Consider the following 14,390-nt stretch of genomic DNA (forward strand, 5'->3'; position numbering starts at 1 on the left):
ACAAATTTTCTAATAAACAAAATGATACTGCCATTAAGGTCATCCTTGAAATAGTTATCAAGTACAACTGGCCTTCCATATCTGCGGATTTCACATTCCTGGATTCAACCGACCTGCATTCGAAATATTAAAGGAAAACAAAGTTCCATCTGTGGTGAACATGTATAAACTTTTTTTTGTCATAATTCCCTAAACAATACAATATAACAACTAATAAGTAATCTAAAGATGATTTAAAGTATACAGGAAGATAGTCATAGATTACATGGAAATACTATACCTTTTATATCAAGGACTTGAGCATCCACAGATTTTGCTCTCTGCAGGAGATCCTAGAACCAGTGTCCCATGGAAACCAAGGGACCAACTATTTATTTCATTTCAAATTTATTATTTATTTATTTAGAGACAGGGTCTCACTCTGCCACCGAGGCTGGAGTTCAGTGCACGATCATAACTCACTGCAGCCTTGAACTCCGAGCTTGAGTGACCCTCCTGCCTCAGCCTTCCAAGTAGCTGAGACTACAGGCACATACCACAACACCCAGCTAATTTTTGTATTACTTTATAGAGGCAGGGTGTCACTGTGTTTCCCAGGCGTGTCTCAAACTTTTAGCCTCAAGCAGTCCTCCCATCTCTACCTCCCAAAGCGTTAGGATTATAGCTGTGAGCCGCCGCACCTGGCCTACATTTTTTAGAGATGGAAAATAAGTGTCACATGATCTCATTATTTCTGGAGGAGAATCTGAATGTCCTCAAAATGTTTTTTTCAGACTTGAATAATCTTAAATTTAATTTTTCTCTTGTAGAACTTCAAACTAGGCCTGTTTAGATTTAACACATAATTACCTGGTCATGTTGAGAAACTGAATGACTCAGATCTCTACTGGAAAGAAATCTGCTTATTTTGAGGAAAAAGGAAGTCATCAATCACTAAATCCAAGTCTTCCTCTTACTGTGCTGCCTCCCTGCTCTAGGATTAGATTCATTGTTATTTACCATTTCAGTACAGTGATATCCTAACTGTACAGGTATATCAAAATGGAAGGACAGTTATAATATCTTAGAAAATTGAGAAGTAATTGACTGTTAGCTACCTGTCCAAAAATGGCTTCAGATTAAAAATACTTGAAAAGTCATTTTGAATTATATACTGTCTAAAATCCCTCAGTAATTTATTGTAGCCAAATGCTTTATCAAATAATTTAAAAATAAATAAAACGAACTCATTTATAAAATTGGGGAAAGGAAAAACCCTGAATAATCTTGTCATTCTAACAGGTTACAGTTCTGATGTGTTTCTTTATTGTTCTTTATCAGATATACATTTTATACATTCATTCATTCATTTAACAGATATTTACTGAGTGCTTATTTTGTCAGACCCTATCCTAGGCATTCAGAGTTACAGTAGTTACAGTGTTGAACTGTGTGGAACTTACATTCATGCTCCATAGACAAAACAGATAAATACTTCATATGTCAGGAAGGTGATATATATGAGGAAAGAATAAGGAGAGCAGAGAATTGCTATTTTATATAGAGTAGTTAGGGAAGACATTTCTGATATGGTGACCTGAAGGAAGTGAATGAAATATGAAGTATGTAGATAACTGTAAAAAGGATTTTATGAACAGAGGAAGCCGTTCATAAAAGTATATAAGTATATAAGCCTCTAGGCAGGAACTTTCTTGCTCTATTAAGGAATAGCAAGGAGGTCATTCATCATAGAGTACATACAATTTTGTATTATTTAGCAATTACATTTATAAAATACAGATTCATTCCAAGCAAGAGAAGTTTCATGAGGTACCTCATGCAGGAAAGGGAAGCAAAGTGATATAGCAGAAAGGGCAAATGAGTAGTAAACATGAGACCTAGTTAGGGGTAAAATGACCTGTATCACAGAAAATTAAAGAATCACAGTTCTACACTATGAGTTAGATAACTCATAACTTTGGGAGAAGCTGAAAATTCCATTTGCTAAAGGAAATGATTTTAGAAAACTAAACATTGTTGTCTGATAAAATTTTTCCTGTTACCCTGAGACTTTGGGTCTCAGTTTCCTTACACATATTTAGGCTTAGATTAGATATCACTAAGGTCTTTTTGGTAACTTTCTGAAAGCTTTTTCTTGGAGCAAACAGGAAAGGAAGGACAGTTGCCTCCTGTCCCCACAATACCTTCACTAACTTGCTTGTGAACTACCTTTTGAAGAACTTAAAGGCTAGGTGGGGTGGCTCATGCCCATAATCCCAGCATTTTGGGAAGCCAAGGTGGGTGGATTGCTTGAGCTCAGGAGTTCAAGATCAGCCTGGGCAACATGGCAAAACCCCATCTCTACCAAAAATACAAAAAATTAACGAGGCGTGGTGGCACACGTGTAGTCCCAGCTACTTGGGAGGCTGAGGTGGGAGGATGGCTTGAATGCAGGTGCTTTTGTTCAGAGCCTTGCATTATGTTTTCTGACCTTTTGGCTCCAGGCACATTTAGTCCTAAAATCTGTTCACACCTGTGCAAACTGAGCATTGTATCTGAAAGAATAGCTAAAATTTATCGATAAAGATATATAATAGCGGTGTCCTGCTGACTCTGTATATTGTGTCACCTATTGAGAGGGTGTATATTGTCATTTACTGAGAGAGTGTGCAGTTTGAAACAAATGAAAAAAGTCAAAAGCCTTTAATCGAACTACAGACAGATTCTTTCCTTTTTACCAAGGTGGTATCCCAAACTTGGCAATTCCCGAATTTAGGAAGAAGTTTGTTGAGTGTGGATAAACAGAAAGGACGGAAGACCAATGCATTTCCAGTGGAGACACATACTTAATTCTAAAACCTATGTATTTTCTTTTTTATTTTTGAGATAGGGTCTCACTGTGTTGCCCAGGCTGGAATGCTGTAGAATGATCACAGCTCACTGCAGCCTTGACCTCCCGGGCTCAGTTGATCCTCCCATCTCAGCCCCCAGAGTAGCTGGCACATAGGAATGTGCCACTGTGCCCAGCTAGTTTTATATTTTTAGTAGAGACAAGGTTTCGCCATGTTGCCCAGGCTGTTCTTGAACTCCTGGGCTCAAGTGATCCGTCTGCTTCAGCCTTCCAGAATGCTGGGATTATGGGCATGAGCCACTGTGCCTGGCTAGTTCTAAAATTTACATACTGTCCCTTTTAATAACCTGTATAACCATAACTTGGATCCCTACATCTGGGCTTTGTCCAAGTATTCTCTGTATTTTTATTTATTTTATTTAAGAGGGTAGAGAAGGCACTGCCAAGGACAGCAGGCCCGCCAGGCCGCTGGTCTCGCCATCTGTATTTTAAAAGGAGACCCAAAAAAGGGGACCTTTCCTCTGTTGGAGATTTTTTTTTAAGCCCTATAAAGCAAAGATCTGATTTCATAATGTTGTGGTTAGTAGCAGTCTTCCAGATTAAAATATGTTTGAAGGCTGTCCAATTTTTTAAAATAGAAACTATCCCAACTTCTAAGAACATGTTCTTGACATCCTCTTTCCTTATTTTCAGCGAAGAAAAAAGCCCCAACTGCCTTCTCTGGACATCAAGTATATGACTTCATTAGAGAACGTTCTAATCTTATACGTATTTATTGTGGTTAAAGTCTTTTCATTCAAATTACGCGTATTTTTGCTATACACATACTTTTTAAAAAAATCTAAACTAGAAAATGTAATTAACCAGAAATTTTTCAGTCTTCAAGTCTGCCAGTTAACTGAGTGAAATATTTTCATAGTTAGAAATCTGTGCTGTCCAGGCCGGGCACAGTGGCTCATGTCTGTAATCCCAGCACTTTGGGAGGCCAAGGTGGGCAGATCACCTGAGGTCAGGAGTTTGAGACCAGCCTGGCCAACATGGCAAAACCCCATCTCTACAAAAATACAAAAATTTGCCAGGCATGATGGCACCTGTCTGTTGTCCCCACCTACTTGGGAAGCTGAGGCAGGAGAATCGCTTGAACCCGGGAGGCGGAGTTTGCAGTGAGCTGAGATCGCACCACTGCACTCCATCTCAAAAAAAAAAAAAAAAAAACCCTGTCCAAAAATGGCAGTTATATTCTATACTGTATTTCTTACTCTAGTAATTGTTATTGTTTTCTAGAAGCACTTTGAAAAGAATGCTAAAATTTGTGATTAGCTGTAGCCAGGAAGAGTTGCGGTTGATCAGTGGCATATACCAAGATTTCAAGGAAAAAGCATAGTAAATCCTGTGCCACGTCCCTGAACTACACTCACAATTCTCCAAAGAACAGTTTCACCAAAAATATTCTATTGTTTTCCTTTAATAATGCTTTTTAAACTTTGGTGAACTATTTTAATGTTTCTAAAAATATATTCAAATAATATAGTGAGCACCTGTATACTGACCACCCAGATTTATCAGATCTTTACATTTTGCTTTATTTGATTCAGGGGTTTTTTTCATTTGTTTTGGTCTCAAACTCCTGACCTCGGGTGATCTGCCCACCTTGGCCTCCCAAAGTGCTGGGATTACAGACATGAGCCACTGTGCCCGGCCTGGACAGCACAGATTTCTAACTATGAAAATATTTCACTCAGTTAACTGGCAGACTTGAAGACTGAAAAATTTCTGGTTAATTACATTTTCTAGTTTAGATTTTTTTTAAAAAGTATGTGTATAGCAAAAATACACGTAATTTGAATGAAAAGACTTTAACCACAATAAATACGTATAAGATTAGAACGTTCTCTAATGAAGTCATATACTTGATGTCCAGAGAAGGCAGCTGGGGCTTTTTTCTTCGCTGAAAATAAGGAAAGAGGATGTCAAGAACATGTTCTTAGAAGTTGGGATAGTTTCTATTTTAAAAAATTGGACAGCCTTCAAACATATTTTAAGAAATAACATTATAGTTGAAACTTCTCATTAATCCTGTTTAATCAGAATTTTTATATACAGGTTTTTAATGTTCTGCTGAGGCCTCCTGATTGCCTCCCTGCTATAGTTAATTGAGAAAGCAGAGCCAGGGTGTTAAATATTTTGACATTTGAAGTTTCCTTTTCAAATTTCTTATTTTTAAAAAGTTAAGTGCAACTTGGTATATTCATATAAAATGAAAAGCTTTTTCATTTATTTAGTGCTTTAAATAATTTTTCCTGAGGATATAAGTGAATGAGTTGGGAGAATTTTAAAAATAAAACCATATTTTGCCTACAGAAAAGTTTTAAGCAGTATAGTTAGTCTTTTAGCAGTTTTATGTGTCTCATATTGTTGAAATAGATTTCTTTTCCATCTTTTCCCAATAAAGTCATTTCAAGCAGTAAAAATAATCTAAAATGCTTAAGCAAACTCATGTCTGATATTTTCAAGTAATTTTATGACAGAATTGTAAACAAAACATCAAGAGAAATCTGATTAAAGGAGTTTAGGTTCAAGAAGGTGGGTAACTGTAAGTTGGCTTGCTAGTGTAATTAGTATAAGAGTTGATTAACAGGTGCACAAGACATGGTTATGTCTCCAATCTAAGCTCTTAAGAGGTTAGGTTCATATCTTTTACACTGTGCATCCCCCACCCCACTATGTAATTAAAAATTCAGGAAATTTTATCAGCCAATAGAAGAAAAAAATTAAAGTAGCATTTTGTACTTAGTCAGATTTTTTCAGACCCAAGTTTTATGCTAGCTAATAAAACTACTAATCTTTAGCAAGTACTGGAACTAAAAATTTTTTAAATCTGTGAAATAAGAAAGTTAGATTATACCCTTCTAAATTCCCTTTTAGTTTATTTGGTTATCTACATTTTATGATTTAACTATTTTTACAGCTAGATCATTGAAAGGGGGCAAAATCCAAACATGCTTACAGATTCCATTGTTTCATTGGAATTTTAAAATACTGAATTATAACCAGAAAATAACTGGATCATTAACTGGAACTTGAAGTCTTTTGTTTGGATAAAGAACCTTTTTAAGAAAAGATTTTAGCCTTCCAAAAATGGTCCTTGTCACTTTCTACTATAAAATTACAGTAAATATTTCTAGCATTTTGGTTGTCCTTTTGTTTAACTCTGTGGTTTTGGGAAGTAGAGACTGATAGTATCAGAAAAAAGGCTCAAATTAAGTAAAGATTCTTTAAGTTTCTGTTTGCAGAAATTAAGTAGCATCATACTCTCCTACCTTTCAGTTAAATATAAAACTCAAATTCCAGTTTGGGGGAGGCTTTTTAGTTCTAAAGATTGTAAAATACAGATTAAAAAATGGATTCCTAAAATGGAAACTTTCAGGAGAAAGATGCTTTAAGTTGTAAGCAATCTAAACGTTCAGAAGGCTTTCTACAGGTAGTACCCATTACACAAATAATTACAATCACAGTCCAAATCCCCGAAGTTCTGCTGTTGCCTTTGAAAGGCTTTTTTTTTCTTTTTAAACAATCTCTAAGTCCAGAAATAAAGCAAGCTTAAAAAGAAAATCACTGGAGCAACTGATCTTGGAATGGAGTATGCCCAGAGCCATCTCCCTTCTCCACTCTGCCTGAATTTTTCCTTTTCCTTTGTTACAATTTGTGAACGATTAATACTTTTTTATAAGGATCTTAAATTACTTTAAAAACCATTATTTATACGTGAGTATGAACCATTTTGAAAATATGGCTTTGCTCAGAACACCTGAGATAACTGTCCCAAAAGAATGAGAGTTTTGATTAGGGAATATGATAACCACTTTGCAATTTGGGACACCTCGGAGTATCAGATGGCCTAAGGGAGATACAAAAGTAGAAGAGCAAAACCCAAGGAAACTGAAGGGCAAGCATTAGGAGGAATGGGTGAAGGACACAGAAGGGAAAGTGCAACATCAAGTATTTCAATTTTTTGCCTAACAATCACTCTTTCCAAAGATAGTAGAGCAGAAACATCTTCCTCTTCTACTGTACTCCCTGATTTCCAGCTGTTGGGATTCAGAGCTCAAGCTAGTACTATTTGGATTAAAAGGAAGCTGTATTGTCACCCGGTAACTGGACTAGCCTGAGGCCCTTAGCAGTATCTGAACAGCACTGCCTAATGGAAATACAATGTATAACGCATATGTAATTGAAATTTTTCTAGTCAAATTTTTAAAAAGTCACAAGTAATATTAAGTTTTAATAGCATATTTTTAACTCAATGTAGCCAAAATACTGTCATTTTGATGTGTGATCAGTATAAAAAAATTATTAGTGAGATATTTTACTTTTCCTTTCATACTAAGTCTTCAAAATCTGGTTTGTATATTTCCAGTATATCTCAATTCAGACTAGCCACATGGTAAGTGTTCAGTAATCAGTGTCTTGTCATTTTAGACAGAGCAGGTCTAGATCATAGTTTTAGAGTGGAAATGTTTCCCGAGTTCTAAGTAATAGAATTTTGGAACAAAGTCTAAAAATTTATTTAACCTCTCTGAGTGTTGGTTTCCCCTTCTGTAAAAGGAGGTTAGACTAGGAGAGCTATAAGATTTCATCCAGCCCCAACATTATATGTGTCTGGGGAAATGAACAACAGCCTTTATGAACAATATCCTACAGAATTTCTTCTTTAATAATTAAACTACTCTATCACTGATCAGATTGACTTAAGAATATTTATGTTGTTTGAACATAAGTTAGTAAGTGCTAAAGCTGAGATTCAAACCAAGGTCTGTATCACAAAGCTTGTCTTCTCTTCACTCCCTCTCAGTCCCAGAAATTTTCACCATACCAAGGTTGGAGATAAAATGTTGAGTCTGGTTATATTTAAGTTAGCATCAGCTTCATTATTGAATACCTCATACTGTGTTTAACTATCATGAGGCAGGTAGTTTTCCTCACTTTCCTTTTCTGGACCACCAGACTTTGTATTGTTACTGATCTCGTATTCTGCTTTGATCAGTCCCATCGCCCATCCCTTATTGAGTTTCCTGGTGGTTTATAGTGAAGACAGGTAGAAAGTAGCATTGGGATAATACATACTGACTATAAGTTTTATGATTGTAAGATCAAGAAGCCCGAGAATCTCAGGAAAAAGTTTGCAGTGAGAATTTGACAATGACTGGGGAGAAAAGAGGCTCCTCTTCATCTATGTATTTTACCTAATACCCAAGGTAAAGAGTGTCTTCCTAAAAGAAGAGGTTGCAAACTGGTGTTGTGTGCAGGCCAAAGGTATGTTTTCATATGATGTTTCCCCTTTTTTGGTAGAGGAGTAAACATTTTAAAATTGGCAGGTTTCACAATAAATTATAGATTTTCTATTTCTTTTGAAAAATAAGAAGACCTAGTACCACTAGGTCCACATTCTTCATGGAGTGGCCTTGCTGCTCCCTCGCTGAGATGGGGTATGGGGTATTCGAATACAGTGTCCCCACCCTCAGTCATCATGTACTCTCCCACTTCTCTCATTTTCATTTCCTGCAAATGAATTTGTGTTGTTTTAAAGTGTACATAATAGACTCAGCAGAATTCTAGTTTGCTTACTTGCTGTTCTGCGGACAGTCACTTTAAAGCTTATGAAAAGATACTATAGTGTACTAAATCATAAACAATTGCTAAACAGTGTTTAGAGTGGTCATAAATCCCTTTCAAAGGCAAAAGGATAAATATGTCAATAACCTCATATTATGCTTTACAGTGTGATGTCTTATTTAATCACTTATAATTCCAAACAGTAGGTAGTATTATCACTTTATGTATTGAGAAAACGAAGCCAGTCTTGCAGTTAACAAAGCGTGAAGCTAAGATTCAAGTCGTAATCTTTTCCAAAGCTCATGCTGTTTTCACTATAATGTATTGCCAGAAATTGTTTGAAGTGCTTAGGTTATATACTTGATCTCCAACATATATGACCAATTTATAGATAGTGAAAGCATTGTCATCCTAATATGCATTGCCATTTTTATATCATATCAGAAAAGTTAGAAGCACTACATCATGCCTTTGCTTTTCTACTTGGTTTCTTAGGCTGCTTGACACTTGATACCCAATATGGTGTTCTGAGCTGTGCCTGTTCAAAAAGGAGAGCATTTTTTTTTCTTCCTTGATACTATCACTAACCCTCCCCCTTTGCTATACCTACACTCCTTTCTAAGTGGTGATAGAAGCATCTATTAAATGTCTTTTTTATTCAGAAAGTATTTATGATGTACACCTCTGATAAAAGATCCTGGAATAAATTCCAAAGGATGAGATATCTGCCTTCAGAAAGTTTGTAATCTTAAAAACTAGAGGAAAAATTATATAACAAGTTGACACTTAAAAGAGTAAACTATACAAATAAGGACAAGGAAATACAGATCAGGATGACTGCAGAAGTAGGGAATATTTACAGCTGGTCATTTTCTTATCAAATTTCAGCTATGCTAAAAATCATCAGGAAGCAGAGCCCACTCTTAGATTCAGAAGTAATGAAGACGTACATCATGTGATGTTGAAACCATAGTGTGGGAGGCCTTAGCCTGTTCTTAGATCAAACTCTGAGGCCAACTACACTGAGTAATAATAATAAAAATAACTTGAACTTCTCACCCATAACAAGCACAACCTTTTTTTTTTTTTTTTTGAGACGGAGTCTCACTCTGTCGCCAGGCTGGAGTGCAGTGGCGTGATCTCGGCTCACTGCAACCCCCGCCTCCCAGGTTCAAGCAATTCTCCTGCCTCAGCCTTCCGAGTAGCTGGGATTACAGACATGTACCACCACACCCAGCTAAATTTTGTATTTTTAGTAGAGACGGGGTTTCACCGTGTTGGCCAGGCTGGTCTCAAACTCCTGACCTCGTGATCTGTCTGCCTCGGCCTCCCAAAGTGCTGGGATTACAGGCATGAGCCACCATGCCCAGCCCAAGCAAACCTTTTAATCTGACTGAAGAAATACTTGCAGACATTCAAGAAGTAATTAATCTTTCCTTCCTCTTCATGGTTTGCATCATATAAACTACTGCATTATTACATACTCTTCTCCTTAGGTCGTTTAAGTCATTATTAGAGATCCTAAGGTTGTATCAGCCTCTGGTTGATGATCACATTTTCAGTCTGGTTCTAATGCTATTTTCATATCATGCCAGACAAGTTGGCAAGTGCTAGACATTTCCCATGTATTTGTACTAAGTCTTTGTCTCCCCTTTAGCTCCTTTTGTAACCATTTCACAATCACCATCAATATTATTAAACCTGTTGTATGTAGGTCACTGGGATGCTAGAGGCAGGGTTAAGTCGGGGTGGGGTTTTTTTGGTTTTTTGTTTTCAAAGGACTAAGAAACAATTGCGGCCGCATGCGGTGGCTCACACAGGTAATCCCAGCACTTTGGGAGGCTGAGGGGGCGCGGATCACTTGAAGTCGGAAGTTTGAGACCAATCTGGCCAACGTGGTGAAACCACATGTCTACTAAAAATGCAAAAATGAGCCAGTTGTGATGGTGCATGCCTGTAATCCCAGCTACTTGGGAGGCTGAGTGGGGAGAATCACTTAAACCCGGGTGGCGGAGGTTGCGGTGAGCCGAGCTCATGCGACTGCACTCCAGCCTGGGTGACAGAGCGGGACTCCATCTCAAAAAAAAAAAAAAAAAAAAAAAAAAAAAATCCATCAGTTGAGTGAAGTATTTTCTTTTGTAAAAGATGTGTAATATTGCCCAGGCATGGTGGTTCACGCCTGTAATCTCAGCACTTTGAGAAGCTGAGGTGGTTAGATCACCTGAGGTCATGAGTTCAAGATCAGCCTGACCAACATGGTGAAACCCCATCTCTACTAAAAATACAAAAAAATTAGCAAGGCATGGTGGCACATGCCTATAATCCCAGCTACTCGGGAGGCTGAGGCAGGAGAATCACTTGAACCCGGGAGGTGGAAGTTACAGTGAGCCAAGATGGCACCATTGCACTCTAGCCTGGGCAACAAGAGCGAAACTCTCTTGGAAAAAAAAAAAATGTATTGATTTGATTCTAGACTTGTGTTTTTTAACGTTTTAGTTTTAGACTGTCGCAGATCTTATAAACACCTATTGGTTTATGTAAATATAAGATACCTATGCTGCCAATAAGGAAACTGTTTCTTAGCACTGTCTTGAAAATCTCAGGGTATTATATTTGAAATCTTGAGGTCATGTTTTTGTTTTTTATTATTGCAAGATGTGTGTGTGTGTATATATATATGTGCATGCCACATTTTCCTTATTCAGTTGAGTTTAGGTTGTTTCCACATCTTGGCTATTGTGAATAGTGCTGCTGTGAACCTGAGAATACTGATATCTCCTCAAGATCCTAATTTCAGTTCTTCTAGAAAATACCCAGTAGTGGGATTGCAGCATCATATGGTAGTTGTGTTTTTAACTTTTTGAGGAACCTTCATCCTGCTTTCCATAGCGACTATACCATTTTGCATTCCTACCAGCAGTGTACAAGGGTCCCAGTTTCTCCACATCCTCATCAACACTTGCCGTCTTTTTTTTTTTTTTGAGACGCAGTCTTGCTCTGTCACCCAGGCTGGAGTGCAGTGGCGCGATCTTGGCTCACTGCAAGCTCCACCTCCCAGGTTCACGCCATTCTCCTGCCTCAGCCTCCCAAGTAGCTGGGACTACAGGTGCCCGCCATCATGCCTGGCTAATTTTTTTTATTTTTTATTTTTTCATATTTGTAGTAGAGACGGGGTTTCACCGTGTTAGCCACGATGGTCTCAATCTCCTGACCTCATGATCTGCCCATCTCAGCCTCCCAAAGTGCTGGAATTACAGGCGTGAGCCACCGCGCCCGGCTGTCTTTTTTTATTATTATTATTATTATTATTAATAGCCATCCGACAGGTATAAGGTAATATTTCATTGTGATTGTGATCTGCATTTCTCTGATGATTAGTGATGTTGAACAGTTTTTTGTATACCTGTTGGCCATTTTTATGTCTTTGGAGAGACTACAAAAGAAAAGATGTCCTTAGTCCATTTTAAAATCTGTTATTTAACTATTGAGTTCCTTATATATTTTTGAGATTAACCCTTTATTAGATATATGGCTTGCAAATATTTTCTCCCGTTCTGTAGGTGGCCTTTTTATTGTTGATTGTTTCCTGGCATAAGAAAAAGTTATGCCGTTTAACATCTGTAGGTTCATCCAGTAGCGTGGTAGACATGGTTGTTGTCTATCCAAATAATCTCACTCTTCTTTTCAAGTGTTAGAAAAACTGCTGTCACAAAATTTTCTTTAGCATTTTTCTACTCAGCCTTCCTGGACTTCTTGTAGAAATGTGTCAACTTAGATAAATTATATTTTAATTATCAAAAAATTATTCTCAGTTAAGGAAATGGCCATTGGTTTATTTTTCCCTACAATGTTTTAGACTAGGACTTTATAGTATCACTTTGTTTTCTGTATGCTGTGTAATGTAGTTGGCCCTCTGTATCCATGGGTTCTACATCCACAGATTCAGCCAACCATGGGTTGAAAATATTTGGGGAAAAAAATTGTCTGTTATACTGAATATATGCAGACTTTTGTCATTATTTTCTAAACAATACAACAACTATTTACATAGCATTCACATCATATTATGAGTAATCTAGAGATGATTCAAAATATACAGGTTATATGTGAATACTATGCCATTTTGTATCAGGAAATTGAGCATCCATGGATTTGGGTATCTGAGGAAGGTGTTCCTAAAATCAGTCCCCCGTGGATACAGGACAACTATATAACAAAAACAATTGTATATAATGAGACTAAAACTTTGAAGTAGTCATTTTTGTCTTGTTTTTATTGTATCACGTTAATAATCCACTTTTGTATGACTATACAGAAAATACGTATGACTTAACTTTTGTCTTGTGTTTCAACAGAAGGAGAATATATTAAAATGTTTATGCGCGGTCGGCCAATTACCATGTTCATTCCTTCCGATGTTGACAACTATGATGACATCAGAACGGAACTGCCTCCTGAGAAGCTCAAACTGGAGTGGGCGTATCCTTCTCTACCATGACAGCAAATTCATTTGCTTTGTCTCTAGTTAACAAATCAGTTAACGTATTCTCTGTCAAAATTGTCTTTATACAAAAAAAAAAAGTAACAGCTACTTAAAAAATTAAAAAGGAAACATCAGGCCAGGCGCGGTGGTTCACGCTGGTAATCCTAGCACTTTGGGAGGCCGAGGCAGGCGGATCACAAAGTCAGTAGTTCAAGACCAGCCTAGTCAACATTGTGAAACCCCATCTCTACTAAAGATACAAAAAATTAGCCAGGTGTGGTGGTGCATGCCTGTAATCCCAGCTACTCGGGAGGCTGAGGCAGGAGAATCACTTGAACCCGGGAGGCGGAGGTTGCAGTGAGCCAAGATCACGCCATTGGACTCCAGCCTGGGCGACCGGGGAAAACTCTGTCTCAAAAGAAAAAAAAAAAAAAAGGAGACATTATCTCTAATTCTTTGCTGTTAGCAATTTAAAGCCATCAAAGTTTATATCTTTGGAAAGGATAAACAATATTTTTTGAACATCATGGCAAGTACTTGCTAGAAAAGGCACTAGACTGGAACTGGAAGACTAGTGTTTGAGTTTTGGCCCTGCCACTTACTCTCCGTGAACCTTAACTTTCTTTACTTATAAAAGGGGTTAATTAATAACCCATACCTCACAGGGGCTGTTGTAGGAATTAAATAAGAAAACATCAGTTAAGCATTTTGTAACCTCAAATTAACAAGGCTGATTCTAATTCAGAATTAACTTTTCAGCCAGACTTTTTTTTAAATGACTGTTAAAGGAGAGCTTTCCTAATTTCACCTAGAAATTTTCACTTCTTTTAGAACCTCCAAGAAACTCAGTGAAACAGAAGGAGTTGGTAGTTTGAACTCTGTTGTCTGCCTCCATTCTCCTGCACTTCCTCCCACGTCCCTTGAATTATTCCCTTCTTAGGCAGATATCAGCTTGGACACACTCACCAATCCTTTCATTCTGTACAACATATTTTTAACAAACATTCTGCCTACCAAACTGTTCCTTGCTATTACTTATTTATCATTTAGGTCCAGCATAAATATCCCTTTTCCAGATAGGCCTTCTTTTGGTCCCTCCCTTCTCTCTCTTTTTCTCTCCATCTAAATTAGGTCCTCCATTTGGGCTTTCTCCTAGCAGTCTTTTTTTTACCCCCCCACGATTTGTAATTTTATATTTGGTGATTTTTTTTTTTCTTTGCCAGAGGATAAGCTCTAGAGACATAGGGCCTACATTTTTTTTGTTCAGAACTGAATGTTCACCATTATGCCTGATACACATTAGGATTTCAATACATATTTGTCTGGTAAATGAGGAAACTAAGATCTTAACATACTGAAAGAGTCAGGTTACGCTAGGGATAATGGCAGGATATGAGTTTTCCTTTTTTTTGGTGGAGGGGTGGGGGTGGGCGGCAACAGGGTCTCTGTGGCCCAGGCTGGAGT

General features: G+C 37.4%; 1 protein-coding gene across 8 annotated transcripts in view; it reads left to right on the forward strand.

Moving 5' to 3' along the window:
* The window catches only part of EML4 (EMAP like 4), a 163,196-nt gene that overhangs the window by 98,699 nt on the left and 50,107 nt on the right, over positions 1 to 14,390 (forward strand). For all 8 annotated transcript variants that reach the window (XM_047443953.1, XM_006711992.3, NM_001410776.1 and 5 more), the window contains one exon: positions 12,799 to 12,922. In XM_047443953.1, the coding sequence (XP_047299909.1) occupies positions 12,799 to 12,922 (124 nt within the window). The remainder of the gene's footprint in view (positions 1 to 12,798; positions 12,923 to 14,390) is intronic.

This window comes from Homo sapiens, chromosome 2 (genome assembly GCF_000001405.40).
Source record: "Homo sapiens chromosome 2, GRCh38.p14 Primary Assembly".
NCBI classification, from domain to species: Eukaryota; Metazoa; Chordata; class Mammalia; order Primates; family Hominidae; genus Homo; species Homo sapiens.